Source organism: Homo sapiens, chromosome 10, assembly GCF_000001405.40.
Source record: "Homo sapiens chromosome 10, GRCh38.p14 Primary Assembly".
Lineage (NCBI taxonomy): Eukaryota > Metazoa > Chordata > Mammalia > Primates > Hominidae > Homo > Homo sapiens.
This window is the reverse complement of record NC_000010.11, coordinates 68132638-68146520: the sequence shown is the minus strand read 5'-3', so window position 1 is coordinate 68146520 and position 13883 is coordinate 68132638. Positions and strand designations below refer to the sequence as shown.

General features: G+C 39.5%; 1 protein-coding gene across 12 annotated transcripts in view; it reads right to left on the bottom strand.

Moving 5' to 3' along the window:
• Nucleotides 1-13883, bottom strand: part of MYPN (myopalladin) — a 124121-nt gene that overhangs the window by 65497 nt on the left and 44741 nt on the right. For 9 of the 12 annotated variants that reach the window (NR_045662.4, NR_045663.4, XM_047425879.1 and 6 more), the window contains 2 exons: nucleotides 3406-3581; nucleotides 995-1046 (listed from right to left, as the gene is read on the bottom strand). Coding sequence is in view for 9 of the 12 variants with exons in the window: in XM_017016834.3 (XP_016872323.1) it covers nucleotides 995-1046; nucleotides 3406-3581 (228 nt within the window). In the remaining 3 variants the exon portion in view is untranslated. Of the gene's footprint in view, nucleotides 1-994; nucleotides 1047-3405; nucleotides 3582-5769; nucleotides 9922-10257; nucleotides 10312-11008; nucleotides 11063-13883 lie in introns of those variants that run through there. The other 3 variants (NM_001256268.2, XM_047425878.1, XM_047425880.1) reach the window with 3 other exon arrangements.

The window sequence follows — 13883 nt, the reverse complement described above, 5'->3', positions numbered from 1 at the left end:
CAAGTAGATTTAAAGCAAATAAATAAATGGGATATTTCTTGCTTATTTAAGTTTATAGATCAAAATTCATACCCCTTAGGTTTGTAACACATTATGGGAGCCACAAGGAAGCAGTGATGCGTGTGCAATAGGGGAGAAGTTTATTACAGAGCTCAAAGAGAAAGAACATTTAGACTGGGTTTTGCAGGACAAATAAGAGTTTGCTAGACAGAGAAGATAGGGCAATCCTAGCAAAGTGAATAGCTTGAACAAAGGAGTGAAGAGGAACTATACATGATTTGGGTGAGATGTCAACAATGTAGACAGCCTGAGGTGGGGAAGGAAGGAGGGGACAGAAAAACCTGGTTGATGCTCTACTGAATAAGGCTTTGTATGTATGCCATGTTAAGATTTTTTTTAAATGTTGCTGTTTGTTTTGTGTTTGATTTTTGTTTTCTCATAGATAATCTTTTTCTGAGTCAGGAAAACAATAGGATCAGAATCTTGATCTCTTTTAGAGAATAACTGGTCGTAGTTTGGACACTATAAAAGAGAGAAAAAGGCAGAAGCAGACAGGAAGCCCTCTAAGGAGGTGGTTGGCATAAAAGGCAGGAGAGAAGGAGGAGTTGACTCAAGGCCACGAGAATGATATAGGAAGGGGGTAAAAGAGGAGTCATTTACTCTGGTTATGAATGTTCGTATCTGCACAAAAGCTAGAAGCAAATTATCATTTCAAGGTAGGCATGAACAAAGGATTTCTGCCCTTAAGGAGCTCATCCTCTGTAGGGAGTAAATTGGAAAGATTCAAATTTATCTGCTAGGCAAGACTTAAGCAAAAGTAGGGTCTTCTTCAAATCCACTCAATTTGTTTGTTTGTTTGTTTGTTTATTTATTTATTTTTGTGGTCAAACCCTGGAGCCACCCTTCTTAAGTTCTAGTAACCAATTAATCATTCTCTTTGAGCTATTAATTGATCTGAGGATGCTAAAGCTATAAGACAGAAAATCAGAATTACCGATTCATCTCTTCCTTGTTAGGGTCGCCTTCTGAGTCAGAAGAAGAAACCCCTGGAAAAATAAAAACAAGACATAAGATTGTTAAGATGACAATTTCTTAAATTGGTTCCTAAACACGACATAAGATTTTTAAGATGATACTTTGTTTACCTGATTCCTAAATATCTGAATACCTACAGAATCTTAGAAATGAACTCAGTAACGCCGGGCGTGGTGGCTCACACCTGTAATCTCAGCACTTTGGGAGGCCGAGGGGGGTGGATCACCTGAGGTCCGGAGTTCGAGACCAGCCTGACCAACATGGAGAAACCCCATCTCTACTAAAAATACAAAATTAGCTGGGCATAGTGGTGCATGCCTGTAATCCCAGCTACTCTGGAGGCTGAGGCAGGAGAATAGCTTGAACCCGGGAGGCGGAGGTTGCTGTGAGCCGAGATCACGCCATTGCACTCCAGCCTGGGCAACAAAAGCAAAACTCCGTCTCAAAAAAAAAAAAAAGAAATGAACTCATTGATTCACTACACTAACACCCAACTTGACAAACAAGGAAATAGGCCCTAAGAAGTTGAAGGAATTGCTCAAGGTCACATGTCTAGTTAGTGGCACTGTTCAAATTAACTGACCCAACTTCTAAGCGTTCACATATGTAAAACACCTGCTGATGCCTTTGGCCTAACAGAGCAGTATTTGCAGACATTCTCTGGTGTTCGTAAATCCTCTTCCTCTTGGCCTACACAGATTGAATACAAGAAGGGATTACACTGGATTCCAAACATTGTAGGTGTAGGTGGATGCTCTTCCGTCCAGTCCTAATATTAACAAGTCATACTTCATTGTGAGAGAGGGGGTGTTTAAAATCTTTTTGTCACAAAGAAAAAAAAAACCCAGCAATCCAATCTCAGCACTGTTAGCAGAGCTTTGATCCTGGATTTACTTCTCAAGATAGTGCATTCCACGAAGATATATAACAGCTAAATCTGGAGGCATTTATTGGACTCCAAAAATGTGAGGATAAAAACACATACACATACAACACATTTCTATTCATGTATTTATTCAAAAAATGTTTATCAAATACTCACTATGTACTTGGTACTATGTAAGTACCTAGTACAAGTACATATTGGAGATATAAATAAGTCGTGGCCTTACAATCTAGTTGATAAATGGGCATCTATACCATAATAATATGTTTAAATGCTAAAACCAAGGCATACATAAGGTATTATTGGTGAAAAAAGTGCTAAAGAATGATCTGCAGACAAAATTCAGAGGATAAGATAAAATAGGAATGCAAATATAGGTAGATACAAAGGAGCATAAGTTGATTTTTTTCACCTCAAATTAATCATATAAACCTGATGCCAATGTAAATGCCTTTCCAGTGTTCCCAGATGGTACCCATGCATCTATCCTTGACTCCCTGCAGTATATTTTCAAACAGCAGCCATAGTGACTATTAAGTCAGATCGTCCAGGCACAGTGACTCACACCTATAATCCCAGCACTTTGGGAGGCCGAGGTGGGCAGATCACTTGAGGTGAGGAGTCCAAGAACAGCCTGGCCAACATGGTGAAACCCCATCTCTACTAAAAATACAAAAATTAGCCAGGTGTGGTGGCGCATGCCTGTAATCCCAGCTATTCGGGGGGCTGGGGCACGAGAATCACTTGAACCCGGGAGGCGGAGGTTGCAGTGGGCCGAGATGGTGTCACTGCACTCCAGCTTGGGCAATAGAGTGAGACTCCGTCTTAAAAACAAAACAAAACAAAACAAAACAAAAAACAAAAAAACTAAGATCATGTCATGTCTTTGCTCAGAATGCTCCAGAACTTCTCATCTACCTCAGGGTCAAAACCAAAGTCCTTGCAATGACCTACAAGGACTTTTGTGATCTGCTTACCTCCCTCCTTCCACTTCCACCCCATCTTACCTTTCAACCTCATCTTCTGTTACTTTCTTGCTCACTCCACCCTGGCCACATTGGCTCATATCTGTGTCTTAAGACAAGCACACTCCCACCCTCAGGGCCACTGCACTTGCTGATTTTTCTGCCTAGAGTAAATTTCTCTCAAACGACCTTGTGGCTCATTCCCCACTCCTCCGCCCCCTACACTCATACATACACCATTCCTATCTCTTTTTCTTGGTTTTTGTATCTTTCACAGTGTTTATATATACCTATCATATCATATATTTTATTTGTTTATCTTGTTTATTTTCTGTCTTTCCCATCATATAATGTAAATTATCAGTAAATGAGCCTAAGTATTTTTGTTCTACTCGGTTCACTGCTGTATCCTCATTGCCTAGAAGAGCGCATGGTAGAGGAGGCCCTCAATAAATATTTATTTATTATAACTAAATGTCTTACTATTAAGTGTCATACTCCAAGAGCATTTTGTTTTACCTTCTATATAAATCTCAGCAGAAGTCGAATCTGTCCCATAGATGTTAGAAGCAAAGCAGGAATAGCGTCCTGTGTCCTCTTCAAAGGCTTCCGCAATGGTCAGTGAGTGCAGATTTCCTGCCTGGACGATGTGAATATCTGGGGAATTTTCAAGCTCCTTGCCTTCACAGTACCACCTGCAGGGAAAAGGATATGGTCATTGGACATGACTCAAATGCAAGACAATAACATAGACAGCTCCAGATATTCTCTTAAATGAGCTTCATTTGAAGTCAGAACAACAACAACAAAAAACTCCATCATTATAACATTATTTTTTTGTAACAGTGAGAAGAGTTGGCAGTATTCAAACCATACTGACACCACACTCAGGAAATTAGAAAGTAGCTCCAGTTAAGAATGGTACAACTGAGAAAACTGGTGAGAAAGCAGGAACAGCCAAGAACAAAGATCAGGGTCTTTGATGTGGAACTTGGCTTCTCCTAAAATGACTTTCTGATTCCTATCATATGCATTAAGTGCTACATTCGCTTATATGAGAGAATCTAAGAGATAATACAGGTTCGTACAGTTGAGGACACTCGTTTCTTTCTATTAAGTTTTATCTGACCTAACTAAATGAAAATTAATTTGTTCTGTTACTTGAGCCATCAGAGTAAGGAGGAGGGGTCATATTCTCCCAGGAGTGGCCCAACTCTGGCAAATAACCCACGTTAAATATGTTTCTGTAGGTTATGATATTTTCTTTTAATTCTATATCCTTGAAGTTAGAAATTTTTATTACAGCCTAGTTTTCTGGCCAAAGTTTACCAAAAATACTATATAAAATAATGTTTAAAATGTAGAGGTGCATAATAAGAGAAATGGACATTAAAATTAAATGGAAATTCCATTCTTCACGTAGAAGATTGGCAAAACTCTAAATGTTTGACCACTCTTACGCATTGCTACTGTGAATGGCATAAACCCTGTGAAAGAAGTCTGCCAGTACTGCCAGAATTACAGATGCAAATATCCTTGGACCCAACAATCCCACTTGTGGGAATCTATCTTATAGATCCACTGGTATACATACAAAATGACAAATGTATAGGCTACTCATTCAAGCAGCAAAACATTGTAAACCATTCAGGCGTTCATCCTCAGGGGACTGATGCAGTCACACAACAGAACACTATGCTGCTCTAAAAAGAAGACGAGAATGATCACTATGTACTGACATGGAAAGAATCCCAAGATATATAATTGAATTTTAACAGTAAGGTGCAAAATAGTGCATATAGGGTGCTAGCCTTGTATAAGAAATGGGGTTTACGGGTTTCATTATGTCGCCCCACCATAGATATGTGGAAGTTCTACCCCACCCTTATACTTGTGAAAATGACCTTACAAGGGGGCAAGAAATAAGATATGTTCGTGTTGTTTGCATTTGCAGAAAGAAAATTGGAAAGAATAAAATGCAAATCATAAGCGGCTATTAGGGGCGAAGGGAAACAAGATGGATAAGGACAGATAGGAGTGAGATGGCTCAGTGTACCCTTTTACATTTTTTCATTTTTTGAAATAATAACTATTAATCAACATAATAAAAAGTAATTAAGTGGGAGGTATAATAACTACTAAGTGTCAAAAATTAAGTAGCCTTGGCAGTTGCTAATCTTTACTGTAATTTAGATCTAACCACTCAGTGCTATAATCCCTGTCTCCCTCCCACCATTTATACAGCAATATTCTTTTTTTTTTTTTTTGAGACCGAGTCTTGCTCTGTCACCAGATTGGAGTGCAGTGGTCCGATCTCCACTCACTGCAACCTCTGCCCCCCGGGTTCAAGCAATTCTCCTGCCTCAGCCTCCCGAGTAGCAGGGGCTACAGGTGCACACCACCACGCCCAGCTAATTTTTGTATTTTTAGTAGAGACAGGGTTTCACCATGTTGACCAGAATGGTCTTGATCTCTTGACCTCGTGATCCACCCGCCTTGTCCTCCCAGAGTGCTGGGATTACAGGCATGAGCCACTGCGCCTGGCCCTTTTTTTGGGGGGGTGGTGGAGGAAGGGTCTCACTCTGTTGCCCTGGAGTGCAGTGGCATGATCATGGTTCACTCCAGCCTCAACCTCCCCGGGCTCAGGTGATCCTCCCACTCCAGCCTCCCAAGTAGCTGGGGCCACAGGCACGTGCTGCCACACCTGGCTAATTTTTGTATTTTTAGTAGATTCGTGTTTTGCTATGTTTCCCAGGTTGGTCTTGAACTCCTGGGCTCAAGCGATTCATCCGCCTTGGCCTTCCAAAGTGCTGGGATTACAGGAATGAGCCACCACACACATCCTATAAGGCAAGATTCTAAAGCACACTGAAGAAAACTCACCTGTTTACTTCCCAACAGTCAAGCTATTCTTCATTATTCCATAAATATGTCATGGTCACCTCCACACATTCAAGTCTCTGCCCATGTTTTTTCTGTCTGAGATTCTCTTTTTCTGCCTTTCAGCTACTACAAATATAAGTCATCCATCAAAATTTGGCTCAGATATTACCTCCTCCACAAAGCTATATTTTACCATCAATTCTGAATGATTGTTACATTTTCTAACTTCACCTAAAAAAAAAAAACCTATACTATGTCATGCAAATACCTGATTATACACGCTTTTACTATTTTCTATTTTGAAAATGTGTCTTGCCTCACCAGTTTCCTAGGTTGTAAATGTTTTGAAGGTAAGGACAGTGTCTTGGATGCTCTTGCAAGCATCCACAGTGCCTACCACAGTTTTCTATATACTCTCTCTCCTCTGGCCATCTTATCTCATCCTATAGTTTCAATTATTACCTCTATTTGGGCCATCATCCATATTTGCCTTTCCAGATCTGATTTCTGGACCCCATCTCCCATCACTCTTCCCTTCAATATGTTCCAACCACGTTGGTCTTTTGATTCTGTGAACACATAAGCTTTTCCCCACTTTGGAATTTTGGCACTGCCTGAAACCCTCCTCCCCCAGACCTTTACAAAGATAGGTCCTTCTCATGAGTCAGACCTCAGCTCAAATGTCGCCTTCTCAGAGAGGCCCTCCCTGACCCTCTTCCCAATATAGCCCCCTTATCCTCAGTCATTCCAGCACATTACCCTCTTTTGTTATCTTCATAGCATTTGTTACTATCTGAAATTGTCTTATATACTTGTTTATTTTATTGTGGTTTGCTCCCTTCACTAGACTGCAAAGTGCACGAGAGGACCGTATTGGTCTTATTCACCACTACAATGTCAGCACCTACAATAGTGCCCTGGCACATGGTAGGTACTCAGAAAATAAGTGTTTGATGGGTTTGTTGAAAGATTGAATGATGGAAAAAATTCACAGTTAATATTTTCTAAGTATTTGTTATTTGCTTCATCAAGTTCTATGGCAACCTTTGATTTCTGTTGTGGCAGCAGCAGAACATAGAGCTGCTGAAATGGGTTCATAAATCTCCCAAAGCATAAAACTACCAAGACCACAAGGAGCTTGTACAAACAAATCCTCAGAGCGTGTGCAGTTCCAAATTCAAATACTGGATGTCCGATTAAACAAGACATATGGAGCACATATGTTTATCTTTACTCCCCTCCTGAAATGCCCCTAAAATGAGAATAAAAGAATTTTTTAAAGGTACAAAACCATAGAGACAAAAAGAATGGAAGGGGAGACAATAGCAGGTCTAAGACTTCAAAACTCTCGGAAGGTGGAAAGCAGGTTGAGGAGCCAGGAGATTTGAGAAATGTGGAAACCAAGTGCCCACTTGGGGATATTAGTCAAAGAAGAAGCCAATTTGTGCAGCAGAACCCCAGAAAGTTTTGGGATTTGGAGACACAAGATTGCTGACAATGGGAGAAGAGATACAGAGCTTAAAACAGGGAGGTTGGTTACAAGTTTGGAACATGAGCTTTTAGATCTCCCCACTAGGTCACTTCTCCTCTTCTGAGCCGTTAGTGAATGTCCCGGAATGAAGGCTGAGTTGCAGACTGAGCCAGCAGCTGCTCCATGTTGGAGCAGGAGGAAGAAGGGCTTCTAAAGGGATTTCTCTAGGGAAAAACATGGGCCTTATGGATCACCTAAGACTGCATGGAAGAGAATATTTAGGAGAAGTTACACAAATCTGTTGGAGGATTAAGACAAATTTGCAATAGAAACACAGAACTAAGCATGTAAAAAAATGGTGTCATCAACTTTAAGATCAAAATAAAGAGTTGTACAAGCAAAGAAGCATTCACTTTACCCTACCAGGCTTGGTAGTGAACAATACTTAGGTAGTAACTGGAAGGTAAGCAGTTTCCTAAACCACAGTGTGATGATTATAATGAAGTGATAAAGAAAGGAGCAAGGGGAATGCTAGTTTAAAGGGTGCTAACCCTTCATCTTGCAGAATAGGAAGTCAGCAGAAATGGCTAACATCAGCAAACCAAGCAATAGCAGTAGAAGCATATCACAGTGGTTCTGAAAGTGTGGTTCACTTTCTGTGAAGACAGAACTATTTTTATATAATACAAAGATATTATTTGCCTTTTCATTGTATTGACATTTACACTGATGGTGCAAAAGCCACAGTGGGTCTAATTGCTGGTGCTTTAGCAACACAAATTAAAGCACTGTTGCAAAACTGATTAGTGGTTATTGCATTTACCACCACACTTGCAATTAAAAAAAAAAAAAGAAAGAAAGAAACAAGAAAGAAAAAGAGGCCGGGCACAGTGGCTCATGCCTGTAATCCCAGCACTTTAGGAGGCTGAGGCGGGTGGATCACTTGAAGTCAGGAGTTCAAGACCAGCCTGACCAACAGGGAGAAAACCCACCTCTACTAAAAATACAAAAATTAGTGGGCATGGTGATGCACACCTGTATTCCCAGCTACTCAGGAGACTGAGGAAGGAGAATCGCTTGAACCCAGGAGGCAGAGGTTGCAATGAGCCAAAATCGCGGCACTGCACCCCAGCCTGCACGACGTGAGACTCCATCTCAAAAAAAAAAAAAGAAGAAAAAAGAAAAAGAAAAATTCCATTTCACCAAAAAATGTCCTTGATGAAGCAGTAAAAATCATTACTTTTATTAATCTCCACCTTGAGTCCATGTGTTCTTAATATTTGGGTGGTAAAATGAGAAATATTAATAGCATAAGTACTAATAGCATAAAAATCTGTTGCATATGGAAGAACACTTGTGTGATGTTTACATTAAGGGTTGAACTAGCTGCTTAATGCATGAAACAATATTTCAACTTGAAAGAACAAATGATAGACAAATTATGGTTATTCAAACTTGGGTATTCAGCAGACATTTTCTCAAAACTGAAGGAAGTAAACCTGACATTTCAAGTAAAAAAAAAACTGACAGTATTTGTTGGAATGAAAAAATTTGAGGTTTCAAGGGAAAATTAGAAGTTTGGAAAACTTGTATTCTCCACGGTAAGTTTATGGTTTTCCAATACTTAAATTTTTTTAATGAAATCAGTGATGATATTAACAAATGTGATTTTAAAATATTATATAATAAAATGTATCACCTTTTGGAAGATCTGCATTACTAATTTTCCTGATGACCAATGCGTGATATTATCCATTCAAAGTTCAAGACAGACCAGTAGGTTTCAGTATAGCAGAGCACAAAAGTTTATTGGTGTGGTTTCAGATTTCACATTGCAACAAATCTTTCAGAAACTACTGCTAGTTAATTTTAATATGGTATAAAATAAGAATAGCCACAATTTCCTGAAAAGACTATTAAAATACTCCTCCTGTTTCTGACTACATAACTGTGTAAGGTTGGATTTTTAAAAATTTACTTCAACCCAAACAACGTAATACAACAAACTGGATGCAGAAGCCAATGTGAGGATCCAGCTGTCTTCCATTAAGCCAGATATTAAAGAGATATGCGAACAATGAAAAACAATGCTACTCTTCTCACTAAATGGTTTTTTTGTTCATTTTGGAAAATGTAGTTATTTTTTATAAATTTTTTTTGTTAACATGTTTATTATTACTACTTAAAAATGAATAAACAATATTTAAAATCTTTTTCAGTTTTAAATTCTAATATGATTAATAAATAAAATATTACAACTCACATAAAACCTCATTTGGGCCTCACTGATTTTTAAGATTGTAAAGGGATCCTGAGAATAAAAAGTTTGAACCACTGGCATGTTATTTAGAAGCTAGAGGTAAATAAACAGAAAATTGCAAAAAAGAGTTGAAAATGGTCTGTTCTTTAATAACATTTGGCTTTTAAAGCAATGTAACTCTATTAACTTGATAAAACAAATATCAATAGCTATTTCAAAACTAATACTTTCCATTATACAAACATTATAGGATTATCTAAATTATTTAGAGAACATTTCTCGTCCTTACCAAAATGAGAGTGGAAACATCTATGAGCAATTGGATAGCCAGAAGGAGATAAGTGGAATGATTCAAATGCCCAAACTCTCTGTCAGAAGTGTTTTTGTCCTTACTCAGATGGCCAGGATGGCCTCAGCAGGCCTAAAAAAACAATCGGTAACCGTCACTCTGACTTTAACAGCATGACCCACTTAGAAATTAGGCAGGGATCAGGCTGGCTTCTGAAAAGGTATTAAATTTACCCTGCTATGCTGAAGACTTTTGAGGGTCAGGGGGAACCATACTCTCAAACCTCCATCCATGTTAGGGAATGCTTTCATAGAAATGCCCTGACCGGTGGCATGTTTTTAGAACGCCAAATCCTCATGACACTTACAGAATGGCAGTAGGTGCCAGGCATGATTCATGGCTCAATAGAAATGAGTCAATGATTGGGATAAATAGGGCAGGTCCAGATGGTTAAAGAAAAGGACCCACCTTTCACGCACAAGGATGGCTTGCCAGATCTGCTCATTTGGCTAGCTAGCAAGCCTGGGAAGAAAGAAGGAAGACACTGAAGAGACACATTTTTCAGATGTAACTGGACTTTTGGCTCTTTATCACCATTCTGCTGTGAGGTTACTATTTATTCTAAAATATGGCTTGGATAAATATTATGACTCATTGTTTTAGCACATTAACAACTTCTAAACGTAATTTGAATGTTATTCTGACTCACCAGTAATAACGCTTGTTAAAAGAATGATTACTCAGAGTCTTTCTTTAACCATGCCCCAGCCCTTCCAAAGTCCCTATCCCAACTTCTGTTATTCCCTCTCCTAACACCCTGTTCTTTTCCTTTCCAGAACCCTTATATATTTTATAATTATATATTTATTTGTAGGTTTATTTGTTTTAGTGTCTCTCTTCCTTACTGAACAATAAACACAAGGGCTAAAATTATCTCATTTGTTTTGTTTACCTCTGTCTATCCCACACCTAGCACAGTGTATGGTACATTTTAGCTGCTCAAAACATATTTGTTGTGTGAATGTTAACTGAATAACTCAACTAGGGTCATTATAGCCTCAAGTTTTTTTCATTTTCATTTTTTCAAGAAGGCTTGTGCACCAGAAAAGGACTTTCCTTTAATTGTCTTTGCCCAGCTTCATTTAGCAATGCTTGATCTCTTAAGTGAAGAATGTGGGGCCTAAAACACAGCCAAAAAGTAGTACATTTGCTTACTCACATTTCCAGCTCTCTCCAAGCATCAGAGTAACTCTTCTTCATATACAGAGTGCAACTGGAATATATCGGACAATAAGATAATAATAAATGTTGTCTAATAAAGTTATGTTGAATTTTGTGACACAATTTGTATGTCCTGTTTGACTGCTACTGAGTTAGTAAACTTAAGTCTTCATGTCCATGTTCCACTCATGGGAGGGTAGGAGTGTAAGTGGGAGGATATGTCTATGTTTTAAGTGTTATTAAAATTTATTGAGTTCTGGTTGGGCACGGTGGCTCACGCCTGTGATCCCAGCACTTTGGGAGGCTGAGGCAGGTGGATCACTTGAGGTCAGGGGTTTGAGACCAGCCTGGCTAACATGGTGAAACCTCCATCTCTACTAAAAATACAAAAATTAGCCAGGCATGGTAGCGCGTGCCTGTAATCCCAGCTACTCGGGAGGCTGAGGCTTGAGAATCGCTTGAACCCAGGAGACAAAGGTTGCAGTGAGCCAAGATCATGGCACTGTACTCCAGCCTGGGTGAAGGAGTGAGACCTGTTTCAAAAAAAATAATAAAATAAAATAAAATAAAATAATTTATTGAGTTCTTCCAGGCAGAAACTTCTTGGTAACTTAAGAAAAGCATAAGTAGGTAGTGGCTAATACCAAGACATCAATACCACCCCTTACCACATATCCTATTTAATTTAATTTAATTAATTAATTAATTTATTTTTTTGAGATGGAGTCTTGCTCTGTCACAAGGCTGGAGTGCAGTGGTGCGATTTCGGCTCACTGCAACCTCCACCTCCCAGGTGCAAGTGATTCTCCTGCCTCAGCCTTCAGAGTAGCTGGGACTACAGGAGCACACCAACATGCCCAGCTAATTTTTGTATTTTTAGTAGAGACAGGGTTTCACCATGTTAGCCAGGATGGTCTTGATCTCTTGACTTCGTGATCCACCCGCCTCAGCCTCCCAAAGTGCTGGGATTACGGGCATGAGCCACCATGTCTGGCCCACATATCCTATTTTAGATATAACAAAAGAGAGGATGAATAAATGTGAAGATGAAAACAGTTCCTAAAATAGTTTTTTTAAACATTAAATTACTTTGAGGAGGGGTGACTAGAAAGTTTTTATTGTCTCCTCTAGAAATCCTTCTTTTTCTTTGTCTGATAGTACTTATTACTAAATTGCTACATAATTTACTTATTTATTAAATATAATATTTATCTGTTCTCCTTCACCTCATCTAGAATGTAATATGGCAGGAAACTTTGCTTTATTTACTGATGAATCCCAAGTATTTGGAATAGTCCCTGATAGTAGTGAGACTAGTAGGGAGTGCTGAATGAATTGTTATTGAATGAATGAACAAACGAACATCTTGAATTTTTTAGTTTTGTTGTTAATGTTAATTCAATGTACTTGAATTTTTGCATGTTATAGATTTTGAAGAATGATTTCTTCCCTTCTTCTGTTTGCTATGTTAACTCTTTCTTTTAGGGTAAGTTCTTCTATTTGTTCAATTTAGAGCCTCTCATGGTGTTGACTTCTTAGCTTTTTGAAAATCTTGCTTTTTTGTGGAGGTTGGCTCTGATTACAGGGGGATATATTTGGTGATTGCTGGGGAGGAGCAGACTGTAATTTCAGGTAGGCATGTACTGTGTACCAGTAGCTCCTCAGTCCTCCTGGCTATCTGGGATGCTGCCCTGCTTGTCCAGCACACATTGGCTGCTCTGGCTTCCGTGTAAATTGGCTGTGCTTGTGGCTCAGCCCAAGCAGGGGAAGCAGGAGGCACTGACCTACACAGCTGCTCTGAATGTAGCTCCCAGATTAATCACCCTGACTGCCCTGGGCCCCCTCTCGCTTATTGTATCTTTTGTCCCTGAGCCTGGAGCATGTCCAGAGAGTTCCTTATGCTGCAACAGTCCTCTCTGGGATACAATTTGGGCTTTGGGTTCTCTTATCAATCAAGTTCCACCTGCTTATTGGCAGATTTACCATGAAACCAATGAAGCTTCAGGGTTCTTCACCTACATGGCTCCCTTCCAAAGCCCTGTACCCAATTGCATATTTACAATTTGCATTATTTATCTTAAAGGGGACTTCCCAAACTGTGTACACTTCAGGACCCACAAAACTTGACTCTCTTCCATCTATATGCTTTCTACCTTTGAGAAATTTGTTAAAATTTCAGGTCTATAGGCCGGGCATGGTGGCTGACACCTGTAACCCCAGCACTTTGGGAGGCTGAGGCAAGTGGATTGCATAAGGTCAGGAGTTCGAGACTAGCTTGGCCAATATGGCAGAACCCGTCTCTACTAAACATACAAAAATTAGCTGGGCATGATGGCAGGCACCTGTAATCCCAGCTACTACGGAGGCTGAGGCAGGAGAATTGCTTGAACCAAGAAGGTGGTGGTTACAGTGAGTCGAGATCATGCCACTGCACTCCAGCCTGGGTGACAGAGCAAGACTCCATCTCAAAAAAAAAAAAAAAAAAAAAATTGAGGTCTACACATGGCATTCTATATGGTTTTCCAGTTAGGTTTTGGGGTGTTGGAAGAGAAGATAGGCCCATGTGCTCAGTCTACCATTTTGGGATGATGATGCCCTTTTCACTGCTAAACTACTTCTAATTTGCCTTTGGTGCCCATCACCCTGTCAAACTGCTCTTACTGAGGTCATTATGGCCTCCCTGTTATTGAATCAAATGATACTTTTCAGTTTTCATTTTATTTGATCTCTAATTAGTATTCACTGTAGTCAACTACTTAATCCCTCTTGAAGCAACTCTTCTTTTTTATGACTGCCCTATATCCCCCCTACCATTTGGAATGTTCCTTGCCAATTTCCTTTAGGGGATTTTTGTCATCTACCCAAACTTTAAA